The sequence below is a fragment of the Homo sapiens genome, chromosome 22 (assembly GCF_000001405.40).
Source record: "Homo sapiens chromosome 22, GRCh38.p14 Primary Assembly".
Classification (NCBI taxonomy): domain Eukaryota; kingdom Metazoa; phylum Chordata; class Mammalia; order Primates; family Hominidae; genus Homo; species Homo sapiens.
Window position 1 is genome coordinate 43,426,423 of NC_000022.11, and position 14,297 is coordinate 43,440,719.

The following is a 14,297-nucleotide window of genomic DNA, read 5'->3' on the forward strand; positions in this document are numbered from 1 at the left end:
TGTAGGGCCTACGGGAAGCCCTCCAGACTGCCCGTGAGTCTGGTGCCCCAAAAAGGGTCCAGGCCCTGGGCCGCCTCTGGGGCTGTGATCTCCATCTTAGGGCAGCGGTGCTTGTGGCATCCCAGCCGCTGTCCCTCGGACCACTCGGAGAAGGAGTTGACGGGGTTTCGAAACCCTGGCCTGGTGGGGTGTGTGTGAGGGCGCGACCTCCCGTCCCTGTGTGGCCTCCCTCAGGCCTGGCCTCTGTTGTGGGGAGAGGGAGCTGCAGGGAAGGGCTCTGCAGGGCAGCAGGCTCCAGGCGGGGATCGCCCTCTTCCAGTGGCACTTGCCCAGGAAAATGCTTGTCTCCGTGTGGGGCCACAGGGCTAGTGTTGCCTGTGGCTGCCTACTTTATTTTTTGGTAGATTTCTATCTGGGCTGCTGCCTCTGGTTTTCTGTTTTTGGAGCCCGATTGGCGGGTTTGGGCAGGAAGGAAGGCCCCGGGCCTCAGGCTTGCCGCTCCTCGGTCTGTGAGACTTGAGGCCTGGGAGGGGCTGCAGGGATGGGGGCCTTCCCTGGGCTGGGTTTTGTCTTTTGCTGGTGAGGTTCATCCTCCAACTGGGTGGGTCAGAGGTGACTGAGCCTGAGGTCCCCGGAGGCCAGGCTGAACTCCTGCCCAGTGGGCAAGGAGAGAGCAGCAAGGCCTCCCAGGGCAGGTGGGGTTTGTGAGGGTCCCAGCACCACATACAGTGGGACCATGGACAGCTGTCAATCACGGTGCCCCTGCCTGGGCCAGGCACACACTTAGGGAGCTCCTAGTCAGAGAACTGAGCCAGGGAAAGAGGAAGACAGAGAGTGGGGGCTGAGGAGGTGCTTCCCAGTTTCAAGGGATCCAGGAAAGACCCCCTGGAGAACTGGGTAATTTCTAGGTGAAGGCCAGAGCAGGAGGAATAGGCGTAGCAAGTTGGGAGAGGGTGTGAGGAGGAAGTGGGCCAGCAGAAGGGGCGGCAGGTCGGAGCCTGCAGGTGGCTAGAAGACAGGGGTCTCTGAGAACTGTATGGAGGCCCAGCTGGGCAGGCAGCAGGGGTTGGGGGCGTGCAGGAGACACCACAGGCCCCTGCAGGCCGGGCTGCGTCCTGAGGGAGGGTGGTGAATGACTGAATGAGAGGGGGTGATCTACCCCATTTAACCGAGCAACCCAGGGCCATTCATTCATTTGTTGAGTCATTCATTCACGCATTTGGGATGTCTGTGAGCTGCTGAGTTTCTCACTGTTTAGGACCTTGGGCGCTGAGCTTGCCTGCTTGGATGGGGTTCATGCTGCTTGGTGCCTCAGTTTCGCCAACCTGGAGCTGGCTACTCCAGGTCGAGGGACCACATGTTCCCCTGAAATTCCCCTTGCCGTGCCGCCCTCCTTGGATGGCGCATGCGCTCTGCATAGCTCGGAAAGCTGGTCCTCACCCCCCGTGACACTAGTCCATGCATTCTCAGTGGAGGAAACAGCACCTCCAAGGGGTGAAAACTGGTTCTTCGGGGGTGAAAAAAACGCTGCGCACAGTAATGCTGGGGATGAAATAGTTAAATCCTCGTAGAGAAGGCGCGGTGGGCAGCAAGCGTTCAGCATTGGTAGCACATGCCAGGCCTGGTGAGGTGCTTGGGACCCAGCAGTGATCGAAGGCACCCCTGCCTGTGCTGAGCTTACATCCAGTGGATGGCAGGCAGTTAGCAGATGGTCATGAAAGCGTGTGATGCTGGTGATGGTAAGTGCTATGGAGAAGGAGCTTAGCTGGGGAGCTGGAGCAGGCCCCGCAAGGATTCACACCTGGCCTGCCCCACCCCATCCTGGACTGCTCTGCACCACCACCTCCGGCAGAGGGGAGAGTTCCCGGCTTCTGCTGACTCCGAGGCAGCTGGGGTTTGGGTGGGACCCTGGAGGGAGCATGCTCCGAGCTCCAGCTTTGAAACACAACTTTGCACACAGCTGGGTAAAGCCAGGGTGGGCACAGGGATGAGGGGGCTGCTGCCTCCCACTGCCCCTTCATTCAGACTCCACACCCCGAGCTCGGAAGCATGGAGGCTGCTGGTGGTGGCTGAATGGATTTCCATGGCGAGTCGGCTGCTCCCTCCCAGGAGCGGTGGGGGGATGGCTGCCACTTCCCGACATGTGATTTGTTGCCACCCTGGGCTTTGTCTCCGGGGTGAGGGAGCGATGGAGCCTTATTTAATAAATCCACAATTTATATTTAATAACAACAGTGACAGTCCAAACATGGCCTCTGGTTGAGTCCTGTGATTTATGCAGTTGCCCCCAGAGACTCTGCTGGTGACGAGGCCGCCTTTGCTTGGGTAATGAATCTCCGGAGCTGGGCCTCTAGGTTGTGAGCAAGGCTGAAGACTCCTTGCCCCGGTGACTGAGAAACCCTATGGGGGTCTCAGGAGGCTCTTCCAGGCCCAGCCCTTCTGCTCTGGGTGGGTAGGCGGACCACTGGCCTGGTGGTCAGTAAGAAGGCAAGAGTGAGTGTTGGGGGACAGGGTTATCCTGGAGCTCTCACTGAAGTCCCCAGGGCCATGGCACCAGGCACAGCAACTCCTCTCTGACCTTTAAAAGTCGTTATGGCAGAGACTTGAGTCATCGCTTAAAGGCCCTTCGAGCCCCTCAGGCTGCACCGGGTCCTTGAAGCTACAGCAGAGTGGGATGGAAGGCCACAGCTGCGTGCCAGGCCTAGAGTAGTCCCTTTGTGCCTTGTTCCTGGCCTTTCCTGCTGTCTCAGGTCAATGTGGACACCCTCTCTACAGATGAGGATGCTAAGGTTTTGGAAGGTGAGTGTGGGGAGCTGGGATTCCCACCCAGTGCTGTGTGGCTCCTTGGCCTTTCCACACACTGAGAGGCTCCTGGAGACATGGAGCTCAGCCTGGAGTGCAGGGAGGGGGACAAGGAGCAAAGCAGGTGGGGAGGACTCACACCCCGGCACTGCCTGGCTCTCATCCTGTCCTGCTGGGCAACAGATGCGGTGGCTGCTTCCAGTTTCTCAAACATTCCAGTCTTCCTCCTGCCTCAGGTCTTTGCCCATGCTGTTCCCTCTGATCCCAGCTTTTTGCCCTGTGAGCACTGACTCCTCCTTCAGATCTCACCCAGGTGTCACCACCTCAGGGAAGTCTTTCCCGCTCCAGCTCTAGGTGCTCAGCACTGGGCCTTGTGGCCCACGCTTTGTGGCACCTGATTCATTCTGTGCTGACACATTCATTTGTAGGAGGATTTCCCAAGCATCTCTCCCCTCCACAAGCATGGGGCTGCATGCCTGGTGCCTAGCACAGGGAATAGGAAGCAGGAAAGAGAAGAGAGTGAGAACGGGACAGGCGGCAAGACTCAGAAGGAGTGTCAGGGATCACGGAGGACTTTCTGTGGGGGTGGGGGTGGCATAATCCCTGGGTGTGGAGGACCAGCTGCACTGTGGCCTCCGTGGAGTGGGCCACTTTAGGAAGAGGGACCAGCAAGAGCAGAGGCCAGGATGTGGGAAGGAAGGACAGGTGTGGGGATGCAGGAGGGTACTGTGGCCAGGGTCCCCTTGGACGCAGTGCTTTGTGGGAAGAGTACTGGGCAAGCGGTTGGGGCAGTTGTTGTGTGATGCTGATCCAGCCAGTCATTGTGCCTCCCCAGGCCTCAGTTTCCCCATTTGTAAAATGAGAGGAAGGGACTAGAGGTCCTTTCCTACTAAAGGAAAGGCTGATGCCCAGTCACACGGCTGGATGAGTTGTTAGAAGCTGTCCCTGCCTGGACCTTCAGAGCACCCCATGTCTGCAGGAATAGGGTTACGAGGGGTAACAGCCTCTGCTTCTGATGCCTCTCTGGGCTTTTGGCGCCAGGAACTGCACTTGCACAGAACCAGTGGCTTATGGGAGAGAAAGAACCAAGAGCAGGATCCAGAGTGCACTGCAGGGGTGTTGGCATCAGGGCTCCAGCTGTGAAGGTTGGTGAAGTTCTCACAACATGACAAAGAGGGAGTGGCTTGTCCCCACCCTACAGAGCAGGGCTGGAGCCTGGTGGGGTCCAGGGGCACAGCAAGGAGGAGGTCACTGAGCTGGGGTGCCAGCCTGGGGTCTGGCGTCGGAGGCCGTGTTCTCTCCTCTGTGCTGTTCCTGCTGCCAGGAATCCCATGGGAAGAAGATCGGTGTAGGCTGGGGAGAGCTTGAGATGGGTGTCAGGTCTCAGAACCACCCCAGTAGGCAGAAGCTTTGGGGAAGTTGAGTTTGGCTCCAAGAAATAAGAAGCCTTTGCTTCCACGTCTTATCTCTGGTCCCTGCAGAATGTCACTGAGAAAGAACCATTTTGCACTTTTTTTTTGGGGGGGAGTCACAAAGTGTTGAGATTAGACGCCCAGATTCCTGTTGTGAAGTCCTGGGTTTAAATTCCACTCTTTAACTTAGTAGCTGGGAGCTTGGGCATGGACTAACTTTTCATTGTCATTGCAAGTATCAGAAACACAACTTAAGTTGCCTTAAGGATGAAAAGGAGTCTACTGGCCCATATTAAGAATTTCAAGCTTGGGTCTAGCTTCAGGTATAGCTGGATCTTCAAATTATGCCCTCTTGTTCACTGTCTCTTTCTACTGTTGTTGTTAATTTTTTTTTTTTTTTTTTTTTTTTTTTTTTTTTTTTTTTAGACAGAGTCTCACTCTGTCGCCCAGGCTGGAGTGCAGTGGTGCGATCTCAGCTCACTGTAACTTCCGCCTCCCGGGTTCAAGCGATTCTCCTGTCTCAGCCTCCATAGTAGCTGACACTACAGGCGCCTGCCACCACACCAAGCTAATTTTTTATATTTTTAGTAGAGACGACGTTTCACCATGTTGGCCAGGCTGGTCTTGAACTCCTGACCTCAAGTGATCCACCCACCTTGGCCTCCCAAAGTGCTGGGAATACAGGTGTGAGGCATTGTGCCTGGCCTCTTTCTCCATATTTTGACTCTTTTTGCTCTTTCCTTCACTTGCAAACATAGTCAGGTTTCTGGATCTTCACACCGGTGGCCTCTGTGGGTGTCCCACCCACAGATGTATCCTTATACCAAGCAGGTCCCTGGCATTTAGAGGCATTCAGTAAGATTTGTCCATAGGTTGATTGAATGAAATGAAGTCCAGCCTGGTAACAGTCCAGCCTGGTGTGAGTTCTGGACCCAAAAACCAGCTTCAAATTTCAGCTGCACCAACTCCTGTAGCTAAGATCATGGACAAGTCAGCCTTTTCTGAGCCTTGGTTTGCTCACCTGTAAAATGGGGCTACCCATAGTACCCTGCTTAGATGGTCATTATGAGGGTGAAGAGAGCCACTGCCTGTAACGTGCCCAGCACATAATGAGCTCTTGATGCGTGGGGATCATTGAAATCATTACTGTTGTTATTATTTCAAAGTTGAGCATTTGTTGCAATCCAAATAGCTGGGGGACTGTGTCGGGAAATGAGAGTCTATTTCTTTCTCTGGGGATGACTAGGTCTGCCTCTTCGCTGTGCTCCAGAAGCCTCGGGGTGCAGGGAAATATGAGTGGAGTTAATTAAAGATCTCTGGCTCCAGCAGCAGGCCCAGCCCAACCAGAGCCCTCAGAACCGCACTGCTCTTGGCTGGCTGGTGGTGGGTGGGAGCTGAGGCCCTCTTAGGGCTCCTCTGCTAGGCGGGGCTCCCAGAGGGTAGACTGTCGGGTCCCTAGCAGCTCGGGGGTGGCATTGTGCTCCCTGTCTCTCCCATCTTCATCTCTCTTTGTCTCTTTGACTTAGTCTTTGTCACCTTATGACATCTTCAAAACCTCAGAGGCACACAGAGAGAGAGAGAGAGACACAGAGAGAAAGAAAGGGAAGAGAGGGAGGGAAAGAGAGAGAAAGGGAGGAGAGAGAGAGAAAGGGAGGAGAGAGAGGGAAAGAGAGAGAGAGAAAGGGAGGAGAGAAAGAGGGAAAGAGAGAAGGGGAGGAGAGAGAGAAAGGGAGAGAGAAAGGGAGGAGAGAGAGAGAAACGGAGGAGAGAGAGATAAAGGGAGGAGAGAGAAAGGGAGGAGAGAAAGGGAGGAGAGAGATAAAGAGAGGAGAGAGAGAGAAAGGGAGGAGAGAAAGGGAGGAGAGAGAGGGAAAGAGAAAGGGAGGAGAGAGATAAAGGGAGGAGAGAAAGAAAGGGAGGAGAGAGAGAGAAAGGGAGGAGAGAGAGGGAAAGAGGGAGGAGAGAGAGAGGGAAAGAGAGAGAGAAGGGGAGGAGAGAGAGAGAGAGGGAAAGAGAAAGGGAGGAGAGAGAGAGAAAGGGAGGAGAGAGAGAGAAAGGGAGGAGAGAGAGAGAAGGGGAGGAGAGAGAGAGAAAGGGAGGAGAGAGAGAAAGGGAGGAGAGGGAAAGAGAAAGGGAGGAGAGAGAGAGAAAGGGAGGAGAGAGAGAGAAAGGGAGGAGAGAGAGAGAAAGGGAGGAGAGAGAGAGAAAGGGAGGAGAGAGAGAAAGGGAGGAGAGAGAGAGGGAAAGAGAAAGGGAGGAGAGAGAGAGGGAAAGAGAAAGGGAGGAGAGAGAGAGGGAAAGAGAGAGAAAGGGAGGAGAGAGAGAGGGAGAGAATATGAATGAATGAATTTGATTGGCTCACTTGAATTCCTGTGCCAGGCCAGTAGCCCAGTAGCAATTGGCTGCCCTTGGTCTGATCAGCTGTGTGTGGGGGGGCGGCAGGGTATGTAGGTCACACCAGCTGTCTGTCATGGGGAGTGGGGGTCACTGGGGGCCCCAGAGGACAGAAGAGTGGTGGGAATTTCTGGGAAGGAGATTTCAGCTTCCAGACCAGCTCAGACACTACCCCTGATGGAAGCTTCCAGAAGACCCCAGGCCAGGTTAGGGCCTTCTCTGCGCCCTGTCCCCTCTGCTGCCCTGTCAAAGGTGCTGGCTGTATTGTCATCGTCTGGCCAAATCTGCTGCCACCATCAGTCCCTGGGCTTGTTGTGAGCAGGGGTCAGCCTGGTTCATCCCTGTGGCCCTGCGCTGAGCTCAGGGCTGGCACACGGTAGTCATTCAGGATGTATTGTATTCAGTGAATGAGTGAATGAGTGAGTGAATGAGTGAATGGAGGAGAAGAGGAAAAGCTCCTAGCACCTCCCTGGTTGGTCATCATCGGATTCATATTCATTTTCCTCCCAGCGTAGACCAGCTCTGACTTGCTGGGATTCTCCCTAGGCCTAGCAACCCCCAGGAAGGGGCCCCGGGTGCGCGCTCCCGCCGCGGCATCGTGGTGGGGAGAGGCTGGCTCGGCGCCTCCGGCTGCGGCGGATGGAGCGCGCTAGTGCGCCCTGCACATTAGCATGCTGAACCCACGTCTCTCGTAAGGTGTTAATTAAATTTCTTCGAAGTATATTGTCTGAAAAAAAAAAAAGGATAATTAGAAAGATGTCTTTAAAAGTATTTATGTAACTGATATGGCACCGCTTTTGGTTTGCCGCATAATTAGATTTAAACACAACTCCTCGAGCAGCATACTCATTTGGAGAGAGCTGCTGTTGAAATGTCATTGCGTTGTTTTTAAGAGTTTTGAGCCTGGTAAAACCATTCACCTGGGGAGGCAACGTGTAGTGGAGACCGCACTGGATGGAGAGCTGGGGTCTTAGCCCACGGGGTGCCGGGAGCCAGGGTCTTAGCCCACGTCCACATTTCTGCACTGGGGTGCCCAGGGCAGCTTGCTCAGCCCGGCTGGATCTTGGCATCCTCGTCTGTCAAACGGGAGGGCCACGATAGGCTCCTGAGGCACAAGAACCTACATTTGTGCCGCTTTTTAAAATGTTATTTTTGCTCAGTGAAGTAGCTTCGTTTTACAGATGTGCAGACCCAGGCTGTGGAAAGCCTGGTCTTCTGACTCCAGGAGTGTTTTCTGACACAGCCCTGGAAGGCCCTTGGTCTAGAAATGATCACACTGTCTTACGGTTTTGAGAAATGGACTCCTTTCCTTTAGGGTCTTTATTTCACACATTCTCCTGAAACTCCCCCTCCCGTGCTGCTGTCCTGCGACGGCGGACGTGCGCTGCACAGCCCGGGCAGTTGTCCTCATCGCCCGACCACAGGCTTTACTCCATGCGGTCTCAGTGGGGGCCATAGCGCCCCTAAAGGGTAAAATCTGGTGCTTGGGGAGTGAAGAAAACGTCTTGCTCTTCTGTCTAAAGCAGAGGTGGATGTGAGGTACCTAAACACACGTACGGCACCGCTGTGATGCCGTACTAAAGCTTCATGGGAGGGAAGTGAGTAGGGGAAAATAAAAGACATCTTGAAGAGGCCACTCTGGCGGTGATAACGAACAAAAGGCTGGAAGCTGTGCAGCACCTCAGCTCGGAGGGCAGATGCTCACTGCACCCACTTCTCACTCCCTTTAACCTTCCCAACAGCCCCCCAACCCGACGTTTCCATGTTACAGACAGGGAAACTGAGGCTTGGGGGCCAAACATGCTTTGCCTGGCTAAAGATGAGAGAAGTCAGGATTCGGGCCGGGGTGGACCCCTGGGAAGGCTGGGCGTCCAGTCCCTGGTCTGGTGGATCTGAGCGGGATTGATGGGGCTGTGAGCTGTGGTGGATGGGGCTGCAGACACACCACCCGCAGGCTCGCGGCTCCATGGCCTCCTGATCCGCAGTGTCATCTCTCCCTGCAGGGTGGACCCGGTGCCTCACGATGCCCCCAAACCTCCAGGCTACACCCGCTTCGTCTGCGTCTCTGATACCCACTCGAGGACGGACCCCATCCAGATGCCGTACGGCGACGTGCTGATCCACGCTGGGGACTTCACTGAGCTGGGGCTCCCGAGCGAGGTGAAGAAGTTCAACGAGTGGCTGGGTAGGTCCCTCCTGCCCCGGGCGGGCGGCTGTGCTGAGCAGGAAGGGGGCTCCCGCCAGCTCCCGAGGCTGCCTGCCTGCCTTTCCCTCCTGCGCTGCCCGGGCCCCCTCCTTGGCCTGTGCCTGCCTGGTCACCCTCCCTGACCTCTCAGAGCAGGTGCCCCTTTCTCTCCCATCCACCTTGGACCTCTCCTCCTCCAGCATCTGTCTTGGTTGTGACTTTCCATTTGTTTGTGGGATTTTTTTTTTTGGCCTGGAAGACCCCCTCCAAAAGGGACTTTGCTCATGTCTTTGTCCATTTATGTGTCCAGGCCCCAGTGCCTGGCAAAGGTAGGGCCTCAATAAATAATTGATGAATGAGGCCGGGTGCAGCAGCTCATGCCTGTAATCCTAGCACTTTGTGGGGCTGAGGCTGGTGGATCACCTGAGGTCAGGAGTTTGAGACCAGCCTGGCCAACATGGTGAAACCTTGTCTCTACTAAAAATACAAAAATTAGCTGGGTGTGGTGGCGGGCACCTGTAATCCCAGCTACATCGGAGGCTGAGGCAGGAGAATTGCTTGAACCTGGGTGGTGGAGGTTGCAGTGAGCCCAGATCACTCCACTGCACTCCAGCCTGGGCAACAGAGTGAGACTCTGTCTCAAAAGAAAAGAAATTGATGAATGAATGAATGAATGGCTGAGTGGGTGAATGCATGAGTGACACACAGAATGGTGGTGCCAGGGTAGGTGCTCAGCTGGTTCATCCTAGCTCAGTCACCCACTGCCATGGAGATGGTTTCTCCAGGGGCCAGATGTGAGCAGCTGCTGGTCTCGGCAGCAGAGCCCTTTCCCATGCACTGCGCCATGGTGGGTGATGACTTATAAGCACATCCTCTGGGTTTTGTCTTTGTGCTTTTTTTCAAAAATAAGAAATAAACCTAGGGGACCCCCTGGGAAAACTCGCTTGCCTTGGAATCCAGAGAAATCTCACAGTGAGGCATCTCTGTCCCCACCCGGGGAAGACAGATGGATGGCCCCTGTGCAGCCCAGCACCCAGGCCTGCTGCCGTGGAGGCGTGGGTGCGGGGCCGCTCACCTTCCTGCGCAGCCCCACGTGGCTGCCAGACGGTCCCTTCCGCCTCCCCAGGGGCGTCCCGCTGTGCAGTTGGCTGGGACTGCACAAGCAGAGGGCCAGGAGTGAGGCAGGGCAGCCGCGGTGAGCCAGGGGCCCGACTCTGCCAGGCGAGACAAATATTTACAAGCAAGGCCTTCCCTTCTGTTTGGCAGGCAGAGGGCTTTAAATATTGATTTTTCAAACGGGAAATTCTAATCAAAGGCCCTGTTTGGGCTGCAGGAAGTGCAGGCCGGGGGACAGGGCTCCTGAAGTCCTTCTCTGGGATTCTCCCCTTGCCCACACTGGCTCCAGTTCTGGGCTGCCTCCCAGGAGGGGCCCCTTCCCCGAGGGAGGCTGCTTGTCCCGTCTGCTGTGGGTTTCAAAAGACAGGAGGTTCCACTTGGTGGAGTCAAGAGGCCGTTTCCAGGGCAGAGAGGCTGGAGTCGCTGTGGGCCAAGCCCCCGCTGTGTGCCAGGCACGGGGTGGCAGGCTCTTACCACCTCTGCCTTGTTGAATTTGGGAACAGCTACTTGAGGTGGCTACCATTTGCGTCCCTATTTGACAGAGGAGAATGGAGGTTCTGAAGGGTGGGGACTGTCTCTCACACACAGCCTGGCTTTCCAGGTGCCCATGATGGGTGGAAAGTGTGAACTTACAACTTGTAAAGGGGTCTTCCTTTTACAAAAGGTTCTTTCCCTCAGGCCTCGCCCCTTTGCTGCCTGGAAGTGTTTGCAGATGTCAGGACCCTCACTCAAGGAGGAATGGGCTTCAGACTGAGGGAGGAGGAGCATTTGCATGGGGGTGAGAGCATGAATCGAAGCCCATTTGCTGCTGGTATTTTGGGAACTCACCCACTGCACAAAGCGAGACACCTTGGTTGGCCGGTGGGCCAGGTCCCCAGAGTTTGGTGATCATGGCTGAGAGATGGACTGTGCACCTATTTGGTGCGTTTGGACAGGGTCGTTTTTTCTATGAAGCTCAGGTTTACTGAGCATTTAGTATGTGCTGGGTGCTGTTCTATACCCTTCGCATGTATTAGTAACTCATTTAATCCTCCTGACAATGAGGCAGGAACTATTATCATTCCCATTTTACAGAGGAGAAAACCAAGTCCCAGAGAAGTGAAGCCACTTACCCAAAGTCACACAGCTTGTAAATGGCAGAACTGGGCAGTGGGACCCCAGTGCTGAACTCTTGGTATAGCTCTGTGTTGCCTCTCCTTCTTGAGGTGAAGCCTCCCTAATTGGAAGTAAGGGTGTGGACGATGCTGATTGGAAGTAAGGGTGTAGGCGATGCATTTGGAGTCTGGATCTGCTTCCTGCCTGGGTGACCACAGCAGCCACGTGGCCCCTCTGGGCCTCATTTTAAAAGGGGGCGGTTAGGCTCCCCTGCCTCGCATCCCTCCAAATGTTGTTTTGAGGCTCTGTTGGAATGGAGGAAAGAATCACCTTGCAAAATGTAAAGTGCTGTATACCTGTTATGATTGCCCCCATGAACTGGCGTCTACCAGATCTGGGCTCCCCTGGGTAGGGGTGGGGTGTTGGGAGGAAGACATTGGACCTGAACCTTGAGGTTGAGTTGGCAGGGAAGGCAGTGGAACAACACATGTGTTACAGCATGTGGAGTTCCTGAGAGATGTGGACGTGTAGTCTCAGCTAGCAACCGCCCTCCCAACAGCAGACACAGAGAAAAAGAGACTGGAAAGAAACATTCCGTCATCCTATTGCTGAGCCTCACTGAGAGCCCACGAGGTGCCAGGTGTGTCGCAAGCCCTGGGGTAACAGTAGGCCCTGAGCACACAGGGCCCCACTCAGCCTGATGCGAGGGGACGGTGGCTTCATAGCCATGAGGGCGGCACGGGAGCCATTCATTAGAGAGAGCTATGGGGTCTGTCTGGGACCCACCTGGGGACGTGTGGTGATGGCCATTCAGCTGGGTGGGCACGGAAGGCCTCCCTGAGGAGGGGATGTTGGGCCAGGCCTGAGGGTGAGAATGAGGCAGCCTTGTGCAGCTCTGGGCAGGACCCGTTCCAGGCAGAGGACGCGGAGGCTGCAGGGGCCCTGGGGTGGGAGCAGAGAGCACTAGGAGTGTTGGGAAGTGGGAGAAGCAGGGCAGTGGGGCAGGCACTGGTCCACACAGGCCTCCTGGGCCTCGGACAAGAGTGTGGGGCTGATCCTAAGGGCAGGGGGAGCTTTGGGAAGGTTTTTGTATGGGGATGACCTTTAGAAAGCTTTTCAAAGGCCATGATGGATTGTAGAACCAGAGTGTACCTGGTGAGGGCTAAAGCTCCAGAATGTTCCAGAGTCGATGTCTGGGTGGTGGGCTCATGGGGTTTTACCTTCTTCTTTAGGATTGTCTCTCTCTCTCTCTGTGTCTGATTTTCTATAGGGGAGGGGTGTGTTTTTCTGGTAATTTCAAACAAAGGCAACGCTCCTGGGTGTCTGGTGCCAAGTGTGTCACAGAAGGGATGGGACAGCGCTGGGCCTTGGGTCAATCCTGGCCGCTCAAGGGCCTCCATGAGCCCCTTCCCCAGCCGACAGGGCGGGAGACCTTTGCACACCCACCTCATCACCTTGCCCACCTCGCCCACCCACTGGCTCAGCCCCTTCTCCTGGATGAGAAAGTTATAGATTTGAAATTCACAACTTGCTCCTTCCCTGTTCATTGATCTCATGGAAAGCATTTGAAATCATATTCTGGGAGCCACCTCCAGACAGACAGGAAGAGATTTAAAAAATTAATAAAGACCTACCGTATAAGACAAGACAAGACATCTAACGGGGCTCTGCGTGGTTAAATTCCTGCGGACTCTAACTTGCTGTGAGGTGCGTTGCTGTCAGCTCGGCTGTGACTGGTGTCTATGCATTGCCCGTTTGCCGGCTTCTAGCTGGGTCTGCGTTCATGGGAGGGGGACGGGTTGGGATGAAAGAGTCCCTCTGAGCAGCCCCTTTTCCCCCTTGGCCATTAATATCCCAAATGTATTCATGAAATAGAAGTGGCAGCTTGATTTGTAAATGTCGAGTAAGCAGCTAAAAGATGGATAAGGACAAGTTCTCCAGCTATAAAGAGTGAACGCAAAAGCAAAACTTGCTGAAAATGGCAAAGAATGTGCAGGTGGTTCCTTGCTCCTCACCAGCCACAGGGAGCTCACAGCCTGGATGGATCAGTCAGCAGTGCCAGTGCAGGGAGGTGGGGCGGCTGGAGGCCAGGCAGCTGTCTTCACCCCTGTTTCCTCCTCTTTGCTGTGTTACCTCAGTCCAGTCTCTCAACCTCTCTGTGCCTCACTTGTAGAACGGGGAGAATTATTTTCTTGCCCCAGGGCTGTGGGGAAGGGTTGATGAATAGTATTCCCACGCAGTGCTTTGCACAGTCCGGGCACCACAGGATCCCTGTCATTGTGAAACATCTGTCACGGTGAACAACTTGCCACTCCCAGATCCTTGCCCCACACAAAACAGACTCCTCAACTTCAACACCAGCAGCACCATTTCCCTCCAGCCACACCGTCCAGCTGGACTCCTCACTCGTAGAATAAGCTCCCCTCCCTGGTCCGGGGCCCACGCTCCACTCACCCCTCCAGAGCTGCCCCTTGTGAAGCCTCCCCCAACCCCGCTGGGCAGAGCTGTTCCCTGCTCCTCTGTACGCCCAGAGCTCCTGGTCTAGGCTCTGCTGGTGGCTCTCGCCTTGCGGCGGGGGCGTGTCTCCTACCTCCACTGTCAGCCCCTGAAGGGGAGGGTCAAGGCTTCATGTCCAGCGCCAGCCAGCGGAGCCCTGGACAGAGAGGAATGTGCAGCCGTGAGTGGCATGCTGACCCCGCTGACGCAGCCCTGTCTGTCAGCTGGCCATGGTGACCCCAGCAGGGCAGGGCATGCCTGAATGCCACTGGGTAGGCCACCAGTAAATGGGAGCTTCAAGGAGGGCAGCGCTGTGACACAGACCAGTGTGAGCCATCGCTGTTGCCACACACGACTTGGGAAGTGATCTGAGAAGACTCAGGGAGCGTAAGTTGAGTTGGGGTCTCAAGGACGAGGCTAGAAGCTGGGGCCACAGGTGCTCTGGACCTGATGAAATGTGCTAGCATGCAGGCCCCCCTGGAGGCCAGGGTGCTGAGGGCAGGAGGGGAGGCTGAACACCCAGAAGCACCCTCCTCCCAGGATGCCCTACAGAGGCAGCCACTGACCCCAAGGCCCTGGCACTGCCCACATCTTTCCCAAGGCAAGAATGCCAGGTCCAAATTCTGCTGCCATCTCTGAGTGACAGCCATGCCTGCAAGAACTGTCAGTTCCTGAGCTGGGATTTGCAAGATGCCAGAAAGTTCCCTCTCTGTGACTGGCAGGTGCCAGGCTGGCCTCCCCACCCCCAGCCACAGGAAGCCTGCAGCCTCCGCAGCCCTCACTGCACCCTCCACAGC

General features: G+C 55.5%; 1 protein-coding gene across 2 annotated transcripts in view, besides 1 other annotated feature; it reads left to right on the forward strand.

Annotated features, from left to right (window-relative positions):
- The window catches only part of MPPED1 (metallophosphoesterase domain containing 1), a 95,835-nt gene that overhangs the window by 14,409 nt on the left and 67,129 nt on the right, over positions 1-14,297 (forward strand). For both annotated transcript variants that reach the window (NM_001044370.2, NM_001362786.2), the window contains exon 3: positions 8,612-8,793. In NM_001044370.2, coding sequence (NP_001037835.1) covers positions 8,612-8,793 — 182 coding nt within the window. The remainder of the gene's footprint in view (positions 1-8,611; positions 8,794-14,297) is intronic.
- Positions 1,377-1,878: an enhancer, noted in NCBI's record as "H3K4me1 hESC enhancer chr22:43823805-43824306 (GRCh37/hg19 assembly coordinates)". NCBI's record gives its function as "activates a minimal SCP1, AML or CMV promoter by ChIP-STARR-seq in naive and primed H9 embryonic stem cells {active_cell/tissue: H9 hESC(naive and primed)}" and the evidence as "EXISTENCE:reporter gene assay evidence [ECO:0000049][PMID:30033119]".